This window comes from Homo sapiens, chromosome 2, assembly GCF_000001405.40.
Source record: "Homo sapiens chromosome 2, GRCh38.p14 Primary Assembly".
In the NCBI taxonomy this organism is placed as follows: Eukaryota; Metazoa; Chordata; class Mammalia; order Primates; family Hominidae; genus Homo; species Homo sapiens.
In genome coordinates, this window is record NC_000002.12 from 10,168,403 (window position 1) to 10,190,173 (window position 21,771).

A 21,771-nucleotide genomic window follows, 5' to 3' on the forward strand; every position below is an offset into this window, starting at 1 on the left:
GAATTTATGGCAGTTTCGCTCTGGGCCTCCTTCCTGGGAGTGAAGCTGCCTCTTCTTGAAGAGGGGGTTTATGGCAGCCTCACTCCCAGAAGTTTCTGCTTTTAGTCAGATAAGGGAAACTCCAAAAATGCTTCTTTCTGGATCTGTTGAATCTCAAATGTCTTCAGTTTAAAATAATCTTGATACCAACTCTGGGGGTTGGGGTGGGTCTCACACCACTCTCCTATGCATCCCTACCTGCTAAAAAGATGTGCCGGCTCTGGCCTGGCCGGCTCCTCCACCTTCCAGCCACCTGTCCTGTTTATTCATTTCTTCCCTCTCTTTTCTCCTTTTCTTTTCCATTTATCCAGTCATTCCTTCCTTCTACCCACCCACCAACCTGATCACCCACTCATTCTTCTCTCCTTCAATCCAACCTTTCCTCAGTACCCAACCTGTGCAACTGTACCATGGACTCCTTCAGGCAGTGGCTCCCAACTCCCATCACAGAGCAAATGCTCAACACACACCCGTGTTTCATCTGTTATTCAACAAACACTGATCACTTGCTTCTCTTAATTATTATTATAATATTTATTTATTTATTTAGAGACAGGGTCTTGCTCTGTCACCCAGGCTGGAGTGCAGTGGTACAATCACAGCTCACTGCAGCCTCCACTTCCCAGGCTCAAGCCATCCTTCCACCTCAGCCTTCCAAGTAGCTGGGACTACAGGCACATGTCACCATGCCCAGCTACTTTTTGTATTTTTTTTTTTTTTTGTAGAGATGGGGTCTCACAGTGTTGCCCAGGCTAGTTTTGAACTCCCGGGCTCAATCCTCCTGCCTCAGCCTCCCACAGTGCTGGGATTACAGGTGTGCGCCACTGTGCCCAGCTGCTTCTCTTTGTAAGTTCCCAAGTTGAAGCACCCCCTTCAGGTGTAGTTTTAGACGTGCAACATGAGGGGAAATCTTAGGTTAATTGCTGGGTCCAGAATTGCTCTGAAAGACAAAGACTGTCTTTGTTCTAGAAAAGTGCTCATAGGCGCTGTGAAGGCCTTGATGTCCTCTGGTGCCAACGCAACAGAGAAGCCAGCAAAATGCTCTGCATGGGACAGGTTCTGGTTTTTGCTACAGAGACTGTAAGAGATGCAAAGCCAGGACGGTGAGGGTGAGCTGGGGTTGGGGAGGCGCAGGGGGGCTCCCCAGCAGAGGGAGGGCATTTGAAGACGGCGGCTGCTCCTTGGAAGCTGGCAGGCACGGCCACAGAATATGCGCCCCTTTCCTGGCCCCCTCGAGGTCTGCACAGCCCTGAGTGCTCATGCCATGAAAATGAGTGTCTCTGAGTTTGGAGAGCTGGCCTCCGCACTGGGCTTCCTGAGGACGGGAGCAGGAGCAGGAGGCTGAGGCCAGGGGGGATGGCAGCCCCCGGGGATCTGAGGAAGTCTGGGAGCTGGCTTTGAACTTCTGCCCACGCTGGAACTTGGGGAGAAGAGGGAGATGTGAGTCAGGTTTTCCTAGTTCCTGAGGGCCTGGGAGGCCTTGGCTGGCATCCCGTTTACATAGCGAGTGGCCCCACCTGATGGTTCTGATCCAGATTCTGGTACCCGAGTGAGCTAGGCCACGGGAGCAGCTGATGCCCCTGCTGTCCCTGAAGGCAGCATGGGAGGCCCCCGGGACTGGGGCTCAGGCTTTCCAGAGAGAAGGAGGTGCCTTTCCCTGCCAACTTCCTAGCTTTAAGTCACGCTCCGGACATCCAGAGTGAGCACCTGCACCTGCCAGAACCCCTTGAGCCGCCTCTACCTTCCAGGATGACCCATTCCCAGTTTTCCCAATTACCTTTCATATTTCCTCTTTGGAAATGGAATTTGATTTTGAGGCTGAGCAGGTGGCTGGAGACATAGAACATAAATATATCATGACTTGGGAGTTGACTTGCTTATCATGGAAATAAATGTCCTCCCTCCTCAAGAAGCGGTCACTTGGCCAGGTCACTTTGATCTTGCCCCGTGGTGAAATCAGACGGTCCCTGGCTCGTGGGCGCTGGAACCAGGGGGGAATTTCAGGGTGAGTCATGAATGCTAGGGGGCAGGGGTGAATGGGCTGTAATGTCAGCTTTGTTTTCCTGTCAGGCGAGAGAGAGAGAGAGGAGGGGAACAAGAGAGAATGATGCCAAGGAGGCGCCTGGGCAGCTGATGAGCTCAGCCCCAGGGTGACTGCGGTCATTTGGGTCGGCAGTGGGGACAGACATCAGCCCCAGCTGGGTCATGGGTCATTTACGGCCTGGGTCTCCCCCTCTCCTCCCTCCTCCTTCTCTCCAACCTGCTTTCTTGCTGCTGGAAGGGGGTGTGCAGGCTCCCGTGTGCCTGGCACAGCAGGGGCAGCACAGGAGACTCCATGGGGCCTGTGTCCCGCACCCCCACGCCCCCGCCCCCAGCCACAGCCCTTTGAGAGCACAGCGGAATGAACGCCTGATTAGGAATCAGATGCCAGAAAGAAGCTGTGTCTGTTCCAAAATCAAGAGACCAGGAGAAGTGACGTCCTTTAAAAGGAGAGAGCTAAGTGACAGAGAGGGGGCTTGTCCCCAGCCCAGGCACCTCGGGGCTGCAAGCTCCTTTGAGATGCGGGGCTCAGGCCTCATCAGGGGAAACGTGGGCATCTAGATGACCCTCCACACTGAGCAGACCCAGCACAGGCTGCGCCACTCATCATTATAGGCTGCGCCACTCATTATAGGCTGCGGGGCCTGCACAGACCCCAGGCATCGAGCCTGCGATGGGGCAACGTGTGGTGTGGAGGCCATACCCCTCCTCTGCTGGCTGGCAGCTTGGCCCAGCCTCCTCACTGGTGAACAGTCAGCTCTGCCCCCTGGGCTGTCAGGAGGATTAAATGAGATAAGACAAACACAGAGCAACTCCTTGCTAACAGCCATGCAGTACCAAGCAAGGCACAGCAAAGGGAAAGAGAAATCCAGTGGCACCAGTGGGCTGAGAAACTGTCGGGTTTGGCTGCTGCTGTTGTCTGCATCTCCCGCCTTCCTCCTGAGCCGTGCTTCCAGGGCAGCCCCGGCCCTTCATGTCAGCTGGTGACATTTCTGCAATTGTTCCTAAAGAGGGGCCTGTGGGTCGAGTGAGCTAAGCAGGGCTTGGCAAGGTGGTGTCCCCCGGTCAGTGCCAGAGTCTCCCTAATGTGGCCTGTGAGACAGAGCTGATGCTGAACAAAGGAACAGGGTGATCTGGGAGCAGCAGCAGCCGCTGTCCTGAGCATCTGGGTCAGGACGACACGGATGCCACCCCAGGACCCCTGGCATAGGGAGCCGAGCAGGGCAGCCGGGCAGAGGCAGGAATGAATCCTACTCAGCTGCAGAATAGTCACAGACACCTCTCCACCAGCAACGTCCCTGAAACAGTCTTTCTTATTAAAAAATATTGAGTGTCAGTTATGTGTCAGGCACTGTTCTGGACACGAGGTCTCAGGAACAAACAAAATATACAGAAACTTGGCCCTTGTGTTGCTCAGGATGAAGAGGAGAAGACAGGAGCTGTGAGGTGTCCCCACCTGTCCAGAGGCTGGGAAAACTTAGGAGACGGTGCTGCTTGTTTAGAAAACCGGGCAGAGGAGCCCTGCTAGTCCAGGCCGGGCCAGCGCCCAAGGATGAGGGGAAGCACAGCTCCTTTGGGGTCTGCGTGCATTTGAGCATGAGTGCATTAACAGGGGGAACGTCTGTGTTTACAGGGCATGCGTTTGGGAGCCAGACAGACCTGGGCTGAGTCCTGCCCTACATACTAACTAGCCTGCTGTGTCGCCTTGCAAGGGGTGAGATTTCTCTGCTCTAAGTCATGGGTGCTGAGGCCCACCTGTCTGGCGAGGGTCTGGGGGAGGTCGGATGAGATGAAGGAGGCTGGGGCTGGCACCGTGGTGGTCCCTGGGCTGTGCCTGTTTCCCTCCCACTTCTGCTGCCTCCATCTGACCCTGCTCCGGAGGGACCAGGGGAGGGGCGGACGGAGGACACTGCTTCTGCAGCGCTCCTTGTCTCCGTCAGTGATTTATAGGAAGCTGGCTCAACCGAGAGCTGAGGGAAGACGGTGAAGGCCCTTTTGTTTTTAGTTCAATTTTGTGAGCAGAATGCTCCTGGGGCCAATAGATTTTTCCAGTAATGAAATTGTGAAAATAATTGAATTATGCCTTTCCAGCTTCAAAGACAACCTGTGCCCTTTCCCCAGCCCTCCGCATGGCATTAGAGAACATTCGCCTCCTGCTGGGTCGGCCCCTTCGCCTCTTCCTTCTGTCTGTCGGTGCAGCCTCTGAATAGAATCCTGGCGAAGGGAGGGGCTGGGTGTGTTGTTGCTGCACCCAGGACTGCCCACATCAGTTGCAAAATGCAATGTGGGGCCCTTTGTTGAAAAACAATGAAGAATTTCAAGATGGTGGCAGCAGAGCCTGAAACCGAGCTCAGGGCCCATCTGAGCAGGGGCCCGGTGTGACCACACGGATCCCATACCGGTGATGCCAACCCCCTGAGTCCCGGGGAACAGTGGCAAATCAGCACTCAGGAAATATCTGTTGAATGGAAAATCCAGTTTCCTTCGCCGTCTTCCTTGTCTGTCCTCTCCTGCCGCCTCCATTCAACTTTCTCCCTTCTTCTCACAGCACTCGGCAGTGTGGACTCTGGCTGCCTGGGTTCAAATGAGCTCACCACCTCCTAGTTGTAAGCTCTTCGACAAGTGACTTAAACACTCTGTGCCCAGTTTTCCGCATCTGCAAAATGGGGAGATAAATAGCCCCTACCTCCTAGGATCATCATGAGAATGAGGTGTGCGAAGCTTGGCCGGCATGGGTTCCATAGCAGGCACTCAGGGGTGTCGGCCACGAAGATTATTCTTTCTCTTCTCTCTTTGCCGTCTTATTTCATCTCTCTCCGTTATTTGGTTCCCCTGTCCTTAGTCCCCTTTCTCCCCCAATGGCATCCCAAGATGCACAATAGTGGCAAGTGCCCAGCCTGTTTCCACAGCCTGATCCCCACCACTGCGTTGGCCAGTCACCCAAGAAGCAGCTGGACCCATCATCTGGCTCTAGGGATGACCCAGTTCCAGCACCCCCGCAAACCTCCGTCTGTCCCCCTACCTCCCTCAGCAGAGGCCCAGCCCAATGCAGGCCCGTGGCTGGATGGGAGTAGCTCTTCCCACCACCCCTGGGCAGGGCTCTGCGGAGCTTGGGAGCCTCACCTGGAATCGGCCCTCATGCCTCAGTAGAGAAGGAGAGCGAGGAGAGAGGTGATGGGGCTCCGCGGGCACCCCCGATGCACAGTCTCCTTCTGGGCTTCTGATGGCCACAAGGCCAGAAGACCTGCCCAGAAGAATTCAGTATAACCCAGTTCAGTGAAATTGGAGAGAACGAGGGCCTGCGTCTTCCGGGCAGAAGGCAGGGTTCCTGCCCTCTGGAGCCCTTGGCCTGGCGCGGGCTGATTAGGACCTAGATCTGCCTGGGTGGCTGGGTGGCCGAGTGGCGATTGGGCTGGTTCTGTACCGGGTGTGCTCCGTGGGGGGCGTGATCTGGCAAAGCCTTGGAGGTGGGACTGTGGAGGCACCATTGATTGAACTGTGTCCCCTGCAATTCACATGTTGAGGCCCAAACCCCCAGTGTGGCTGCATTTGGAGTAGGGCAGTAATTATGGTTAAATGAGGTCGTATGGGCGGGTGCTGATCCACTAGGATTAGGATCCTTATAAGAACCTGCCACCTTCTCTCTGCCACGTGAGGACATGGGGAGGAGGCGGCTGCCTCCCACCCAGGAGGAGCCCTTACTGGACACTGGGCCCTGGCTGCACCTTGACCTTGGACTTCTAGTCCCCAGAACTGTGAGAAGTAGATTTCTGCTGATTACGCTTTCCTGTCTGCGGCCTGAGCTAAGACAGCAGCGCTTGGGGAGAAGCAGAATTTGAGGAGCTCCTCAGTGGCAGGCTGCCCTGGCCCTGCTGTCAGCAGAGGGGAATGGCCATCCATGCTGGCCCCTCACCAGCCGGGCCTTCAGTGAGCTCCCCGGGTAGGTGAAGCTCTCCCAGCTCTGTGTCCCCCGCCAAAGCAGGCCCACAAGCGAGCGCCTATGGGGTGGAGTGAGAGTGAGGAAGAAACATTACCCGAGGGGTCACTCTCTTCAGAAGACCTCAATGACTGTAGACTACTGAATTATTTCCTTAAAAAAAAAAAAAAAAGGCTAGGTATGGTGGCTCAGGCCTATAATCCCAGCACTTTGGGAGGACAAAGGACCACCTGAAGCCAGGAGTTCCAGACTAGCCTGGGCAACACAGCAAGACCCCATCTCTACAAAAAATTTAAAACTTAGCCAGGCGTGGTGGCACATGCCTGTAATTTCAGGTATTTGGGAGGCAGAGGCAGGAGGATCACCTGAGCCCAGGAGCTAGAGGCTGCAGTGAGCTATGATTGCACCACTGCTTTCCAGCCTGGGTGACAGAGTGAGACTCAAAAATGGTTAAAAAAAAAAAAAGAAAAAATGTTGATAGCTACTATAAAGTTTCTCTTATGCAGTACCTCCTCATTTTACAGGAAATTTGGAGATAGGGAAAATAGAAAGAAGAGGAAAAGATGCCCAAATATACCCAGAAAGTCCCTGCTAACATGCTGCTGTCGTCCTTCTATTCCTTAATCTAGGCATGTGGGCTTTTTTCTTATTTAAAAATGTTGATTTAGATATAATTACATGCAGAAAAGTGCACAAATCTGAAGTCTGCAGTTTGAGAAGTTTTAGACATGTGCATACTCTGCACCGACCACCTCTGCTAGGATATAGAGCATGGCCAGTGCCCAGAGGGCACCGCAGGCCCTGCCTAGCCACACTCACACTCTCTTCAGTAACCCCTCATTCTGATTCTATTGCCATAGAATAGTTTGGTCTTTCTTAAACCTCATATAAACGAACCATGTTGTATGTGGTCTTTGTGTCTGGCTGTTTTTTCCCCTATTTTAAAAATTGTGTTAAAATACACATAAACTTTATCATCTTGACCATTTTTAAGTGTACAGTTCAACGTTATTAAATACATTCATAATGTTGTATAACCATCACTGCCATCCGTCTGTAGAACTCTTTTCATCTTGGAAAACTAAACTCCATACTCATTAAACACTAACTCTGTATTCCCTCCTCCCCGCAGCCCCTGGTAAACACCATCCTACCTTCTGTTCATATGAATTAAAAAAAAATTTTATTTTAGTTTTTGAGACAGAGTCTCGCTATGTACCCCAGGCGGGAGTGCAGTGGCGCAATCTCGGCTTACGGCAACCTCCGCCTCCCCGGTTCAAGTGATTCTCCCCATCAGCCCTCTGAGTAGCTGGGATTACAGGCACACACCACCACGCTCAGCTAATTTTTTTTTTTTGATATTTTTTAATAGAGACAGGGTTTCACCATGTTGACCAGGCTGGTCTCAAACACCTGACCTCAAGTGATCCACCTGCCTCAGCCTCCCAAAGTGCTGGGATTACAGGCATGAGCCATTGTGCCTGGCTGTGTTTCCTATGAATTTGACCATTCTAGGTACCTCCTATGGGTGGATTCATACAGTACTTGCCTTTTTGTGTCTAGCTTATTTCACTTAGCATAATGTCTTCAGAGTTCATCCATATCTGTAGCATGTCTGAATTTCTTTCCTTTTCTTAGGCTGAATAATATTTCATTATGGATATCATGGCATGTTGCTCATCCATTAATCAATCAGTGGACACTGGGTAGCATCTGCCCAAGTTTTAGACATTGGGAATAATGCTGCTGTGAACATGTGTGCACAAAATAACTCTTCAAGACCCTGTTTTCAGTTTTTTTGGGCATATACCCAGAAGTGGAATTCCTGATCATATGGTAATTCTACTTCTAATTTTTTTTCTTTTTTTAGATGGAGTTTTGCTCTTGTTGCCCAGGCTGGAGTGCAATGGCGCAATCTTGACTCACTGCAACCTCCGCCTCCCGGGTTCAAGTGATTCTCCTGCCTCAGCCTCCCAAGTCGCTGGGATTACAGACATACGCCACCATGCCCGGCTAATTTTGTATTTTTAGTAGAGACGGGGTTTCTCCATGTTGGTCAGGCTGGTCTCGAACTCCCAACCTCAGGTGATCTGCCCGCCTCGGCCTCCCAAAGTGCTGGGATTACAGGCGTGAGCCATCGTCTACTTCTAATTTTTTAAAGGAACCACCACACTGTTTTCCACAGTGGCTGCATCATTTTACATTTTGTATCTGGTTTCTTTTGCTTAATATTGGTCAGGGAGATTCATCAATGTGTACAGCACAAGTTTGTTTCTTTATAATTGCTGTGTTAAGGATTCCATTGTATGAACAAAACACAATCTATTAATTCCCCTATTGATGGACATTTGGATTGTTGCCCACTGTGGCTATTATGAATAATGCTGTCATTAACCGTCTTGTACACATTTTCTGGTGGTCATAGGCACCTGTTTCTCCTGTGGGTATATTTGGGAATGGAATTGCTGGGTCATAGGGTAGGCAATTGTTTCACTTTAGTAGATATTAGGTGTAAATTTTGATGTCTTTAAAATAGTACTGATTGAGCCGGGTACAGTGGCTCATGCCGGTAATCCCAGCATTTTGGGAGGCCGAGGCGGGTGGATCACCTGAGGTCAGGAGTTTGAGACCAGCCTGACCAACACAGTGAAACCCCATCTTTACTAAAAATACAAAAATTAGCTGGGCGTGATGGTGGGCATCTGTAATCCCAGCTACTCTGGAGGTTGAGGTAGGAGAATCGCTTGAACCCGGGAGTTGAAGGTTGCGGTGAACCAAGATCGCACCATTGCACTCCAGCCTGGGCGACAGAGCGAGATTTCGCTTCAATAAAATAAAATAAAATAATAGAATAAAATAGAATAAAAAAAAATATGGTACTGATCATCACATAAAGTTTTGAGGTCTGCCTTTTTCACTTAACATTAAATCATTACTATTTTTAAGTTAGAACTTTTATTTTGAGATAATGATAGATTCCCATGTAGTTGTATGGAGTAACACAGAGAGATTCAGTGCACCTTGTACCCTTTTCTCCTGTGGTAACATCTTGTGAACCTAAAGGCAATATCATAATAACTATATTGATGTTGATTCAATGTCCTCAGATCTCCCTAGCTTCCTTTGCATCCATTCGTGTGTGTGTGTTCCTCTAGTTCTACACACTTTTATCACCTGCACATATTTGTGGGTCCACCACCACAGTTCCAATGCTACAAGGATCCCTCCTGTTTGCTTCTTTCCTTTTCCTTCCTTCCTTCCTTCCTTCCTTCCTTCCTTCCTTCCTTCCTCTCTCCCTCCCTCCCTCCCTCTCTCTCTCTTTCTTTCTTTCTAGCTGAGATTACAGGCATGCGCCATCACGTCTGTTTAATTTTTGTATTTTTACTGGAGATGAGGCTTCACTATGTTGACCAGGCTGGTCTCGAACTTCTGACTTAAGGTGATCCACCCGCCTCAGCCTCACAAAGTGCTGGGATTACAGGCATGAGCCACTGCGCTCAAGCTTTTTTTTTTTTTTTCTTTAGACGGAGTCTCGCTCTGTCACCCAGGCTGGAGTGCAGTGGCGCGATCTCGGCTCACTGCAAGCTCCGCCTCCCAGGTTCACGCCATTCTCCTGCCTCAGCCTCCTGAGCAGCTGGGACTACAGGTGCCCACCAACACGCCCGGCTAATTTTTTTTTTCGTATTCGTAGTAGAGACGGGGTTTCACCGTGTTAGCCAGGATGGTCTCAATCTCCTGACCTCGTGATCTGCCTGCCTCGGCCTCCCAAAGTCCTGGGATTACAGGCGTGAGCCACCGTGCAGGCTTTTTTTTTTTTTTTTTAATGTGAAGTCTCACTGTGTTGCCCAGACTGGAGTGCAATGGCACCATCTCAGCTCACTGCAACCTCCACCTCCTGGGTTCAAGCAATTCTCCCGCCTCAGCCTCCCAAGTAGCTGGGACTACAGGCACCTGCCACCATGCCTGGCTAATTTTTGTATTTTTAGTAGAGACAGAGTTTCACCATGTCGACCAGACTGGTCTCGAACTCCTGACCTCAGGTAATCCACCTGTCTCGGCCTCCCAAAGTGCTGGAATTACAGGCATGAGCCACTGTGCCTGGCCACCCCTCCTGTTTGTTTCTAACACAATCATCTACCCCCAGCCTCTGGCAACCACCAATCTGTTCTCCATCTTTATACCTTTGTCACCATAAGAATGGTCTGTACATGGAATCAAGCAACTAGTAACCTTTTGGGATTGGCTTTTTGCAGTCGGCATAGTTCTCTGGAGAGTCATCCAGGTTGCTGTGTGCTGTGATTTGAATGTTGGTGCCCTCCTAAATTCATATGTTGGAATCTCACACCCAATATAATAGTTTTAAGAGGTGGGACCTTTGGGAAGTGATTAAGTCACGAGGGCTGTGACCTCATGAGTAGGATTAATGCCCTTATAAGAGAGGTGAAGGGAGTGCCACTGCCCCTTTAACCACGTGAGGACACAGCAACAAACTGCCGTCTATGAATCAGAGAGCCCTCAACAGACACCGATTCTGCTGGCACCTTGATCTTGGACTTCCCAGCCTCCAGAGCTGTGAGCAATAAGTTTCTGCTCTTTATAAATTATGCAGTCTAGGGTATTTTGTTATAGCAGCTGGAACAGACTAAGACACTGTGTACCGATGATTTATTCTTTTCGTTACTGAGTGGTGTTTCTGGATTTGGACATACCGCAGTATGTCTGGCATTCATCCTTTTTTTGTTTGTTTGTTTTGAGACAGAGTCTCACTCTGTCACCAAGGCTGCAGTGTAGTGGCGCGATCTCAGCTCACCGCAACCTCCACCTCCTGGGTTCAGCTATTCTCATGCCTCAGCCTCCCAAGTAGCTGGGATTACAGCCACATGCCACCACGCCCGGCTAATTTTTGTATTTTTAGTAGAGACAGGGTTTCACCACGTTGGCCAGGCTGGTCTCAAACTCCCGACCTAGGGCATCCACCCGCCTCGGCCTCCCAAAGTGCTGGGATTACAGATGTGAGCCACCACACCTGGCCTGACATTCACCCTTAAAAGGACATTTGAGTGCTACCAGTATTTGCCTGCTTTAGTAAAGCTGCTATGGAGACTAGTGTATAGATTCTTTTGTGAACTTACATTCACACAAAAATGCAGTTGCTGGGTTGTGTGGTATTTGCCTCATAACTTCAGATGCTTCTTGACTCACAACATGGTTACTTCCCGACGAACCCATTGTAAATTGGCAGCGTGGCTGAGTGGGAGCTGCATCTCTCTGCCTCTGTCCAGCACTGTGAGGGAAGTACAGTTTCTATTGAATGTGTATCACTTTCACACCATCATAAAGTCAAAAAATCCTGAGTTGAACCATCATAAGCCAGGGATTGTCAGTATTTTTAGAGGAGCTCAGGGTCATAGGTTACTCTGCCAGTTACATATTCTGATGCAAACGTTTTCTGAAGCCTTTATTATTATGACATTCTGGGGACCTCCATACCCCTTATTTTTGGGGATTAGAGCTTCCCTCTGTCTAATCCAGCTCTAGAGCCACCTCCTCGGGAAGCCCTCCACCCAGAGCCACCTCTCTGTGAGAGCGGCCCCACCAATGACTTTCCTGTGGGATGATGGAGCCCTCATGCTGAGCAGAGGTTAATGCCATCCCACGGCTCCCTTCCCCCAGAGGAGGTCTGGGTCTCAGCTGAGGCTTACAGCCTAACACATCTGGCTCCGGACATACTGGGAGCTCTTTACCTGAGGGTGTCCCTGTCATGTAGACAGAGGCTTTTGAGAAAATAAACAGTCCTGAGAGAACCTCTTCGTCCTGGGGGAAGCTGGCTTGGTCTGGTGAAGACTTGTTCACTTGCTTCCAGCAGAAAATAACTTCGCTGTGAGCCTGGAGGTTATTATAACTAAATCATTCTGTGAACTACACAGACAGGCTGGGCATGGCCATTGTATTTCCGTCACCCTGGAGAGAAATCTGTGACCAAATGGTTAAAAAAAATTCCAAGTCATTCATTATTCACCCTCGCTGCATAATGCATGAAGGCTGCGGGCCAGGCCCATTTATGTTTTCAACATTGGCATCAAATGTCAGCCACTGCCTCAGAGAGGCCCACGAGGGCCTTGGCACTCGTGGTTGGCCCCTTCTCCCCTCTGGATGAACCTCAGGCCTCCAGGGCTCCTGCCTCCTGCTCACTAGGCTCTCAGCCTGGATGGTCCTTCTTTCTCTTCTTCTATGAAGCCCTCTCCATCCTTTAGGGCTTAGAAATCATCTCCTCCCTGTCACCTGCCAGGGCAGGAAGTCATCCTCCCTCTCTGTTCCCCCTGTAACACTTTATTTTTATTTATTTATTTATTTATTTTTTTGAGATGAGACGGAGTCTCACTCTGTCGCTAGGCTGGAGTGCAGTGGCATGATTATGGCTCACTGCAACCTCTGCCTCCCAGGTTCAAGCGATTCTTGTGCCTCTGCCTCCCGAGTAGTTAGGACTGCAGGCACGCACCACCATGTCTGGCTGATTTTTGTATTTTTAGTAGAGATGGGGTTTCAACATGTTGGCCAGGCTGGTCTTGAACTTCTGACCTCAGGTCATCTACCTGCCTCAGCCTCCCAAAGTGCTGGGATTACAGGTGTGAGCCACCGCACCCAGCCCCCTGTGGCACTTTAGAGTATTGATAACCACCACCACTGTGATCATAACTAGTATGATTTATATAGTTTGTATTCTCTGCTGGACACTTAACTCACACTATCTCATTTAATTCTCATAATAGCCAGTGAGGCAGATATTCTATTTCTCAATTTTAAGATGAGGAAACAGGCTTAGAGTGGTTAATTAATTTGCCCAAAGACATGCAGCTAGCAAGAGGCAGCATATTGCAATTTGCCTGCAGGATGGTAGCAATTGTCATCCCTTTTCTTCTCAATCATTCTCACCAGAAATGTATTAGTTTTTGCAGCCTTTTCAAGGAACCAACTTTAGGTTTCGTTGATTGTCTCTGTTTCTTAGTTCATTACATGTGTATTTTTATTTCTAGTCCTGCTTGCTTAGGATTTATTTTGCTGTTCCTTTTGTAATTTCTTGAGATAGATCTTAGTGCATTTGTTTTTAATCATTCCTCCTTTCTCCAGTTCAGGCTGGTCTTGAACTCCTGGGCTCAGGCAAGCATTTCAGGCTAGAAATTTCCCTCTGAGTACTGCTTTGGTTGCATCCCTGCACATACAAGTTTTGATTGTAGGAGTTTATTATTCCATTGAAAATATTTTCCGATTTTCCTGGTGATGTCCAGGTGGGATTGTGCTCAATCTGACAGACTGCACAGCTCTCTCTCTCTCTCTCTTTTTTTTTTTTTTTTTTTTTTTTTTTAAGACAGGGTCTCAGCTCTGTCACTCAGGCTGGAGTGCAGTGTTGCGATCATGGCTCACTGCAGCCTTGACCTCCAGGGCTCAAGGGATCCTCTCACCTCAGCCTCCCGAGTAGCTGGGACTACAGGAGTGAGCCACCACATGCAGCTAATTTAAAAAAAAAATTGTAGAGATAAAGTCTCACTATGTTGCCCAGGCTGGTCTTGAACTCGTAGGTTCAAGCAATCCTCATTCCTCAGCCTCCCAAAGTGCTGGGATTATAGGTGTGAGCCACTGTGCCTGGCTCTTTTTATGATACTCTTTTCTGACATTGAGCAAATCATTTTCATGTCTGTCCCTCCCCCAGGATCAGTTTGAGACCAGCCTGGCCGACATGGTGAAACACTGTCTCTACTAAAAATACAGAGACTGGCTGGGTGTGGTGGTACATGTCTGTAATCCCAGCTACTTGGGAGGCTGAGGCAGGAGAATTGCTTAAACCCGGGAGGCGGAGGTTGCAGTGAGCTGAGATAGTTCCACTGCACTCCAGCCTAGCAGCCTGGACGACAGAGGAAGACTCTGTCTCAAAACAAACAAACAAACAAACAAAAAAAAACCCAAAAAAAATCCCACAAAAAACAAAACTATGAACTAGGTGGTCTAGAAACAATTATTTCTCACAGGTCGTTTTAAGCCACTGAGTTTGTGGTAATTTGTCACAGCAGCCCTAAAAAATAAATATACACAGTTTTAATTGAAGTTGGGCTAAGAAGCTGGACGCTAGTCCCAGCTACTCAGGAAGTGGAGGTGAGGGGATCGCTTCAGCCCAAGGAGTTCGAGGCTAGCCTGAGCAACATAGCAAGGCCTCATCTCTAAAAAATAAAAATTAAAAATTGGGTTAAGAATTTAGCAGCTAGTCCTTAATAGGATGAGCCATGAGGACCGGCAGCTACATATCAGTGGTTTGAAGCAAATGGTTGCCAAGTCGCTCCTCTCCCTCCCAGGTCATCACCGTGACATCCTTTTGTCCAGTGTCCTTCCCTCCAGGGTAGCTCAGGTTAGGGGAAACAGCCAACACATCCATGCAAGGAAATAAATGGCCACTCAAACGCAGACTCTTTTAAAAGTGGGAGAGTGGCTGGGTGTAATGGTTCATACCTGTGATCCCAACACTTTGAGAGGCCGAGGTGGGAGGACTGCTTGAGCCCAGGAGTTGGAGACCAGTCTGAGCAACATTAGGAAGACCCTGTCTCTACAAAAATTACAAAAATGAGCCAGGTATGGTGGCGCGTACCCAGCTACTTGGGAGGCTAAGGCGGGAGGATGGCTTGAGCCCTGGAATTCGAGACTGCAGCGAACTATGATGGCACCACTGCACTCCAGCCTGGGCCACAGAGCAAGACTCTGTCTCTAAAACAAAACAAAATAAATAGAAGGAGGAGAGGCGTGAGCATTGAGAGCATGGCCAAAGAGCGGCAGCACTGGCTACCCAGCACTTACTAGCCACATCTGGGCCTAAGGATTTTATGTCCCTCAGGACTCACGGGGCTGATGTGCCATCTGACCCCTCTGAGACCTGTGGGACTGGGCTCCGAGCCTCTGGGACACTGGAGGGGTGGAGGCAGGTGTCTGGGCAACATCCAATAAGAAGCCTGTGACAGAGTCAACAGTGGCAAGAGCCCTTTGGGCCAGCCCGGCTCATCCCCTCCTGGCTGCCTGCCCCTCCATGGCAAGGTCATTTTCCTTGATTCCGATCACAGCAGACCTCTGTTGCTCTGTGGCTGATTCATTCAGAGAAGCAGGGTTCTGGCTGGGTATGGTGGCTTATGCCTGTAATCCCAGCATTTTGGGAGGCCAAGGTGGGCAGATCACTTGAGGTCAGGAGCTCGAGACCAGCCTGGCCAAAATGGCAAATCCCTGTCTCTACTAAAAATAAAAAAATTAGCTGGGCATGATGGCACGTCCCTGGAGGCTGCAGTGAGCTGAGATTGCGCCACCGCACTCCAGCCTGGGTGACGGAGTGAGACTCTGTTTCAAAAAAAAAAAAAGGCCAGGTGCGGTGGCTCACGCCTGTAATCCCAGCACTTTGGGAGGCCGAGGCGGGCGGATCATGACGTCAGGAGATCGAGACCATCCTGCCCAACATGGTGAAACCCTGTCTCTACTAAAAATACAAAAACAAAATCAGCCAGGCGTGATGGCAGGCGCCTGTAGTCCCAGCTACTGGGGAGGCTGAGGCAGGAGAATGGCGTGAACCCAGGAGGTGGAGCTTACAGTGAGCCAAGATCGCACCACTGCACTACAGCCTGGGTGACAGAGCGAGACTCCATCTAAAAAAAAAAAAAAAAAAAAAAAAAAAAAGCAAAAAAGCAGGGCAGCAGGGTTCCTAGCCCCGGCTCCACTGCCTTTTCTGGCTTGGGGAGACAAAGCTTGGTAACATCAGGACTGCAAACATCCTGCCATTAGATCTTGGACCAGCACCGGCCTGGTAGTTTGCTGTTTCATCAGGGGGCTTGCAGTTCATAAGCAATCCCTTCTTTTCTTTTCTCCCAAAGCTGGGAAATCAAAACAAAACTTCCTTCCCTTCCGATATTCCTCTTTACTAAAAATTTGCGTAGCCAACTCTCCTGGGAGTGGGGGGACCAACTTGGCTCAGGTTGGCTGGGATGGTCCTGTTTTTAGCATTGAAAACCACAAAAGCAATGAAAGTCTCACGTTGTGGGAGGCCCTGAGTCCTGGGCAAACTGGGACTGTTGGTCCAAACCGTCCCTTCCAGAAGAGGCCCACATGGCAGGCCCTTTGAGGCCTGGGGCAGGCGGGACAGAGGCAGCACCCGCCTGGCATGGGGCTGAGGCCTCCTTGCAGCTGCCTCCCGGCCCCTTGTTCTCCTTCATGGCTCCATGCACAGCTGAGGGGAGACATGAGGTCTCTCGGTCTCCATGGGTTTGGGGCAGGCCCAGAATGGCCCTGAATCCAGTAACACCAACTGTCCCTGGAAGTGTCACCACCCTGGTCTGGGAGGAGCTCCATGAACATCTCAACCATCCACTTCTTGTGCAGATGGGGAAACTGAGTCAGAAAGGGAGGAGACTGCCTTAAGAAAGATTCTTGCAACTTGACTTTGATCCTGTAGAGTGTTTGTGGGTTTAGAAGAGCACAGGTCTGAAGATGGAAGACTTGGGTTTCAGACCCGTCTCTGCCCTGTGCACCAGCATGCCCAGAGCAGCACTAACCCAAAGCCAATCTGACAAATGAACAAGTCATTCTATTTACTGGTTTCTTTGATCTATTTATAAAAATGAATATTTATAGCAAATCCTGTAGGATGCGGTAGATTTGGAAGATTTCTGTGATGTTTTGTTTGACTAATGCTTATTTTCCCTTTTGTATCAGTATTTTAACAAATGCTTTGGATTTCCTCCACGCAGAGGAGAATCAGTATGCAGCTGTTAATTTTGGCTGCTGACTCCAGGACAAGAGACAGAGAGAGAGCGTGAAAGCGAGACAGAGCGTGAGAGTGAGAGAGAGAGAGAGAGGCAGGAGAGGCTGAGCGTGGGAGGGAGACAGACGGCATCGATTCATTAATATATTCAAAACTATATTCAAAAACTATTCATTTAAAAATTCTGGAATATATTGACTACATACTTTAAAAGACTTTTTTATAATGGGAAACTTTGAACATAGGCAAAAATAGAATAATAGAAAAGCCCAGCGTGCGACATCAGTGTCAACAGAGGTCCATATGTGGCCAGTCTTGTCTCAGCCTTTTCCCCACCCATTCACTCCTCTCCCAAATCCGGATGGTTTTAAGGTGATTTTAGCCATCGAATTCCATATGACTCTGTTCTCAAGTGTACTGGATACATTCTTGAAAATACTCTTGAACATATTCTTGAGGATGAGAAATTCTTACAAATGTATATTTTTTGTGCCCCTGTGTCTCCCCTTCCTTGCCTTTCAAACTCCTCTCTCTGTCCCTTTGTCTCCTTTCCCCCACCCTTCACCTCCCCTCTCTGTTCTCCCCAGTCTCCCCTAAACTCCAAATCTCTACTCTGACCCTCAGTCTCATCTTCTGGGTGACCGAAGATGGGGCAGTGCAGCCCCTGCTGAGCTGACCCTCCTTTCTGTCCTTCCTCGTGCCGAGGTTCTCTCTCCTTGACTGTTTCTCCTAGCTGAAGCAGTAGGCTGCTGGACAGAGGCAGGTCCAGCATACTTTGAATGTTGTTATGAAGTCCAGTGGAGAAGAGCTAGCCTAAATTCGGCAGAAATCTTCAATATCTTTAAAAAAGAAATCCCTCCATTATGGATCACTGTAAACTTGTATCAGTTGTTATAATCAATGAACACATTGACTGAATTGGCCTTTTGATATATTGACTTAGAGCTGTGTGATTTTGGATGAGCCATTTTACCTTTTAGAGCCCCAGTTTCCATCTCTGTGAAGTGGGGAAGTGTGGACCATAGCAGTGGTTTTCTTTTTTCTGAGGCAATTCTCCTGCCTCAGCATCCCGAGTAGCTGGGATTACAGGCGCGCACCGCCATGCCCAGCTAATTTTTTTTTTTTTTGTATTTTTAGTAGAGACGGAGTTTCACCGTGTTGGCCAGGATGGTCTCGATTTCCTGACCTCGTGATCCACCCACCTCGGCCTCCCAAAGTGCTGGGATTACAGGCGTGAGCCACCGTGCCCGGCCAGCAGTGGTTTTCAAACTGGTTTCGGAAGCAGATTCATTCTTTTCCTAGCCAAAGCCTGGTGAACCGTAGTGTGTACAACAGTTAAAAGCAGAGACCTGCAGGTCCACAGGAGCAGACGCTGAGACCAGCCTGCCTGGGGTCAATGCCCTCTAACCCCTCTGTGCCTCTGCTGTTCATCTGCTGAATGGGTCTCATAGTTGAGCAGTGGTCGAGAGATTTCCTGGCATCAAATACATGGAAGGGACTTAGCGTAGGTCCTGCTTAGCACATAGTAAGTGCTCAGCGAACTTACTTACCACTTATTACTTACCACCCCTGCCTGAAGCAGGGTGGGGCCAAGGGATTGGCTGGACCTCAGCCACTACCCCTCCCCTCACATGGAGCCAGGCCCCACCTCCACAGATTGGGGGCTTGGGGACACGTCTTCTGTGCTCCATGCTCTCAGGTCCCAGTGAGGCTGAGCGCTGAACCATCCAAGTTGGCAGGGCCAGGACAAGGACCCAGGAGCTCTGGTGCCCAGGAGTCCCCCGAAGGGGGGCTCAGAGGAGGTGCGTGCGGGGCTGGTGCCGGTGCCCCCGAGGCCCACGTGCAGCCCCGCTCTGTGGGGCCTTTGCCCAGCCTCCTGGTCCTTGCCAGCGCTGCATGGCGTTTCCTGCCGGAGTGCTGGTCACTGAGGGCTCTCAGACAAGGAATGACCCAGGGGCTGGGCCCAGCCTCTCCCTTGTTCCCTGATGCTGCTGGGGCCGCTCCTCTCTACCCAGCAGAAGGGTCCCGCAGGAAGATCAGCTCTGAGGTTAATTGTCCTTCTGGATAGCTGCAGCCCAGTTGTCATGGAAACCGGTCACGCAGGGCTCGGTAGCAGGACCCTCCTTCCTACCTCTGCCACGGTGCCGCAGGCTCAGAGGGGGCGTGGGAGCTGCATCAGGTGATGGTAAGATACTACAGCCATTCTCCAACTGCAGGCACCTGGAAGGAGAAGGTGGCCCGGGGCCAACTGTGCAGTGAGAGAGGCTTTTTCTGCGTCTCCCCGCAGCTGTCTTGTTTTCAGCAGTGGCCCTGGGGGAGATGTGGACGCTCTGAGGCCTGGGGCTGGCTCTGTGTGTCCAGGTCTGTGTGGGGGTCACTGAGAGAAGGGAAAGGCAGGGGATCTGGCCCCATGTGGATCTTGGTGGCCCTGGCACTTTTTTACTCTGAGCCCAGCCTTCCTTGTGTGTAAAACAGGGATTGTGGTGCCTACCTCTTGGGCTTGCCCTGCAGATGGGCCGGGCTGAGCCACACCACAGCGGCTGGGCAGGTTCAGGCCCCTTCTCACCTCTGCTGTCCTCCAGCACCATGATTCGGTTGGGAACAGAGGAAGGCGAGGAGAGCCATCCGCTTCCTGCTTCTGCAGCATTCGGCCATTTGCCCAATGCTCCCTGATGCCACGGTTCTCAAAGTGTGGTCCCTGTCCCTGGCCTGGGAGCATCAGCTTCCTGTGGGGACTCTAGAAATGCAAGTTCTCCGGCCCCACACTAGACTGACTGAATCAGAAACTCGGGGCGGTGGGGTCTAGCGATCTGTGCGTTAACACATACTCTAGGGGGTTCCGATGCCCCTCGAGTTTGAGACCCTCTGGTCTAATGATTTATGGGTGAGACACTCTGCGCCTGCTTCCCTGAGGACCCCGAGCTGCAGCCCCAGGGCTTCCCCCTCCCACTTTGGGTGAGTATGAGCAGGGCCCAGGTGGCTGGGGTGCAGTGGGCAGCCCGGTGGTCCTGCCTGGGGTCTGGTGCTCCCTCGGTGTCTGTCAGCTCGGGCTGCTCTAGCAGAAGGCCACAGAATGGGGGCTCACACCGCAGGAATATATAGTCTCATGGTTCTGGTGTCTGGAAGTCTAAAATGAAGGCGTTGGTAGACTCAGTTTCTAGTGGGGCCTCTCTTCCTGGCCAGCAGGTGGCCGCCTTCTTGCTGTGTCCTCACATGGACTTTCTCTGTCCATGCATCCCTGGAGTCTCGCCCTCATCTGGTGGTCCTTTGTAAGGACACCAGTCCTACTGGATTAGGGTCCCACCCTTAGGACCTCATTTCACATGAATCACCTCCTTAAAGACCTCATCTCCAAATACGTCCTGTTGAGGAGTTGGGCTTCAGCATATGGATTTGGGGGGACACTCAGTTTCCTTGGGCCTCTCAGCTCCTGAGGGGGTCATCATGAGCCACCTTCCTGCTTGAGGGGGATAAAGGGCAGCTGGGACCCAGGGCCTGGGGCCTTGGGCCGAGGCATGGGGGGCATTTGTGGGCCGGTGTTTGAAATGCTCCACCAGCACTGCAAACACACCAGACCCCTGAAGAGAGGGTCAGGCGCTCAGCTAGGAAGAGGGCGCTGCGGAGAGAGTGGTGTGTGTCTTCCTGTGTCCTCCTAGGAGCTTCTGTCTGAGAAGTCAGAAGTCATGAGTTCCCAGTCCTGGCCGCATTTGGAGGCTGGATCATTGGAGGGAGGCGCCGGCGCCCCATGTAGCTGATGTTGGTGGAGCATTGGCTGAGGGCCCAGAGAGCCATGCTGCTGCCTCCCACACATCAATCACTCAGGCCACACAGTCACTGGTGAAAGAGGGCACACAGGTAATCCTCCAGTTCTTGAATGGGGAATGGAGGCACAGGAGGGCTAAGCGAGGGCCCATGGCCTCAAGATTCAAACACAGGCACTGTCTGGCCCCAGAACACACGCCCTTCCCACCTGGCCGAGGAGGTGCTCACAAGGGGCACTCCAGGTGGATGCAGAGTGGGCCAGCCCCCTCCCTTCCTGCGGGCAGTGGCCCCTGCTCTTCAGGGGAGTCAGATGCATTGATTCTGGAGGCTGAAGCCAGGTGGAAGTGATCTAGAGGGGAGATGAATGTGAGGCGCTGCCCCGGAGGAGACAGGAATGGCTCATCAGCCACGAGCCAGTGCCATTTAGAAACTGGCAGCCAAAGTGACGAGGCCACACAGGGCAGGAGGAGCAAGAGCACACGCTTGGAGGTGATGGTATTCCAGCAGTGGCATCAGCTCAGCCTGGGCCAGGCCAATGAGCCCACCAGCAGCCTGCCCCTTGCTGGGGTGGAAGCCTGAAAGCAGACCACAGTGGCTGCTTTCTTTGGTCTGGGGGAGCTCAGGCCAGGGGCTGGTTAGAGTCCCCAGCACAGCCCCATCCTCCATCCCACAGTGGGCAGCAGTGTGAAACTGGGCAGGGGACTTCAACTCTCCTAGTCTAGTTTTTTCATTCATGTCAAGGGAACACCACTACTGACCTCACAGGGTGAGGGTTAAGTCAGATGATGTGCTTAAAAGTCTTACATGAGGCATGGTGACACTAGATGGGCCAGGGCTTCCTGAAGGCAGGGTCAACTCTGATTCATCTTGACATCTCCAGTTCCTGGCCCAGAGCCTGGCACATAGTGGGCACTTGAGAAGTGTCTGTTCCCTTCCCTCGAGAGGGTCTTCAAGTGGTGAATGGAGATGATGGTGATAGTGATAATGGTGGTGATGGTGGTAGTGATGGTGATGATGGTGGTGATGGTACTGATGATGGTGGAGATGATGGTGATGATGGTGGTGATGGTGGTGATGGTGGTATTGGTGGTGATGGTGGTGGTGATGGTTATGATGGTGGTGGTGATGGTACTGATGATGGTGGAGATGATAGTGATGGTGATGATGATGGTGATGGTGGTGATGGTGGTATTGGTGGTGATGGTGGTGG

General features: G+C 51.0%; 1 protein-coding gene across 1 annotated transcript in view, besides 3 other annotated features; it reads left to right on the forward strand.

Annotated features, from left to right (window-relative positions):
• The window catches only part of RRM2 (ribonucleotide reductase regulatory subunit M2), an 88,443-nt gene that overhangs the window by 45,835 nt on the left and 20,837 nt on the right, over positions 1–21,771 (forward strand). The gene's annotated exons all lie outside the window — the stretch shown is intronic.
• Positions 886–1,516: an enhancer, noted in NCBI's record as "H3K4me1 hESC enhancer chr2:10309414-10310044 (GRCh37/hg19 assembly coordinates)". NCBI's record gives its function as "activates a minimal SCP1, AML or CMV promoter by ChIP-STARR-seq in naive H9 embryonic stem cells {active_cell/tissue: H9 hESC(naive)}" and the evidence as "EXISTENCE:reporter gene assay evidence [ECO:0000049][PMID:30033119]".
• Positions 2,777–3,406: an enhancer, noted in NCBI's record as "H3K4me1 hESC enhancer chr2:10311305-10311934 (GRCh37/hg19 assembly coordinates)". NCBI's record gives its function as "activates a minimal SCP1, AML or CMV promoter by ChIP-STARR-seq in naive and primed H9 embryonic stem cells {active_cell/tissue: H9 hESC(naive and primed)}" and the evidence as "EXISTENCE:reporter gene assay evidence [ECO:0000049][PMID:30033119]".
• Positions 3,407–4,036: an enhancer, noted in NCBI's record as "H3K4me1 hESC enhancer chr2:10311935-10312564 (GRCh37/hg19 assembly coordinates)". NCBI's record gives its function as "activates a minimal SCP1, AML or CMV promoter by ChIP-STARR-seq in primed H9 embryonic stem cells {active_cell/tissue: H9 hESC(primed)}" and the evidence as "EXISTENCE:reporter gene assay evidence [ECO:0000049][PMID:30033119]".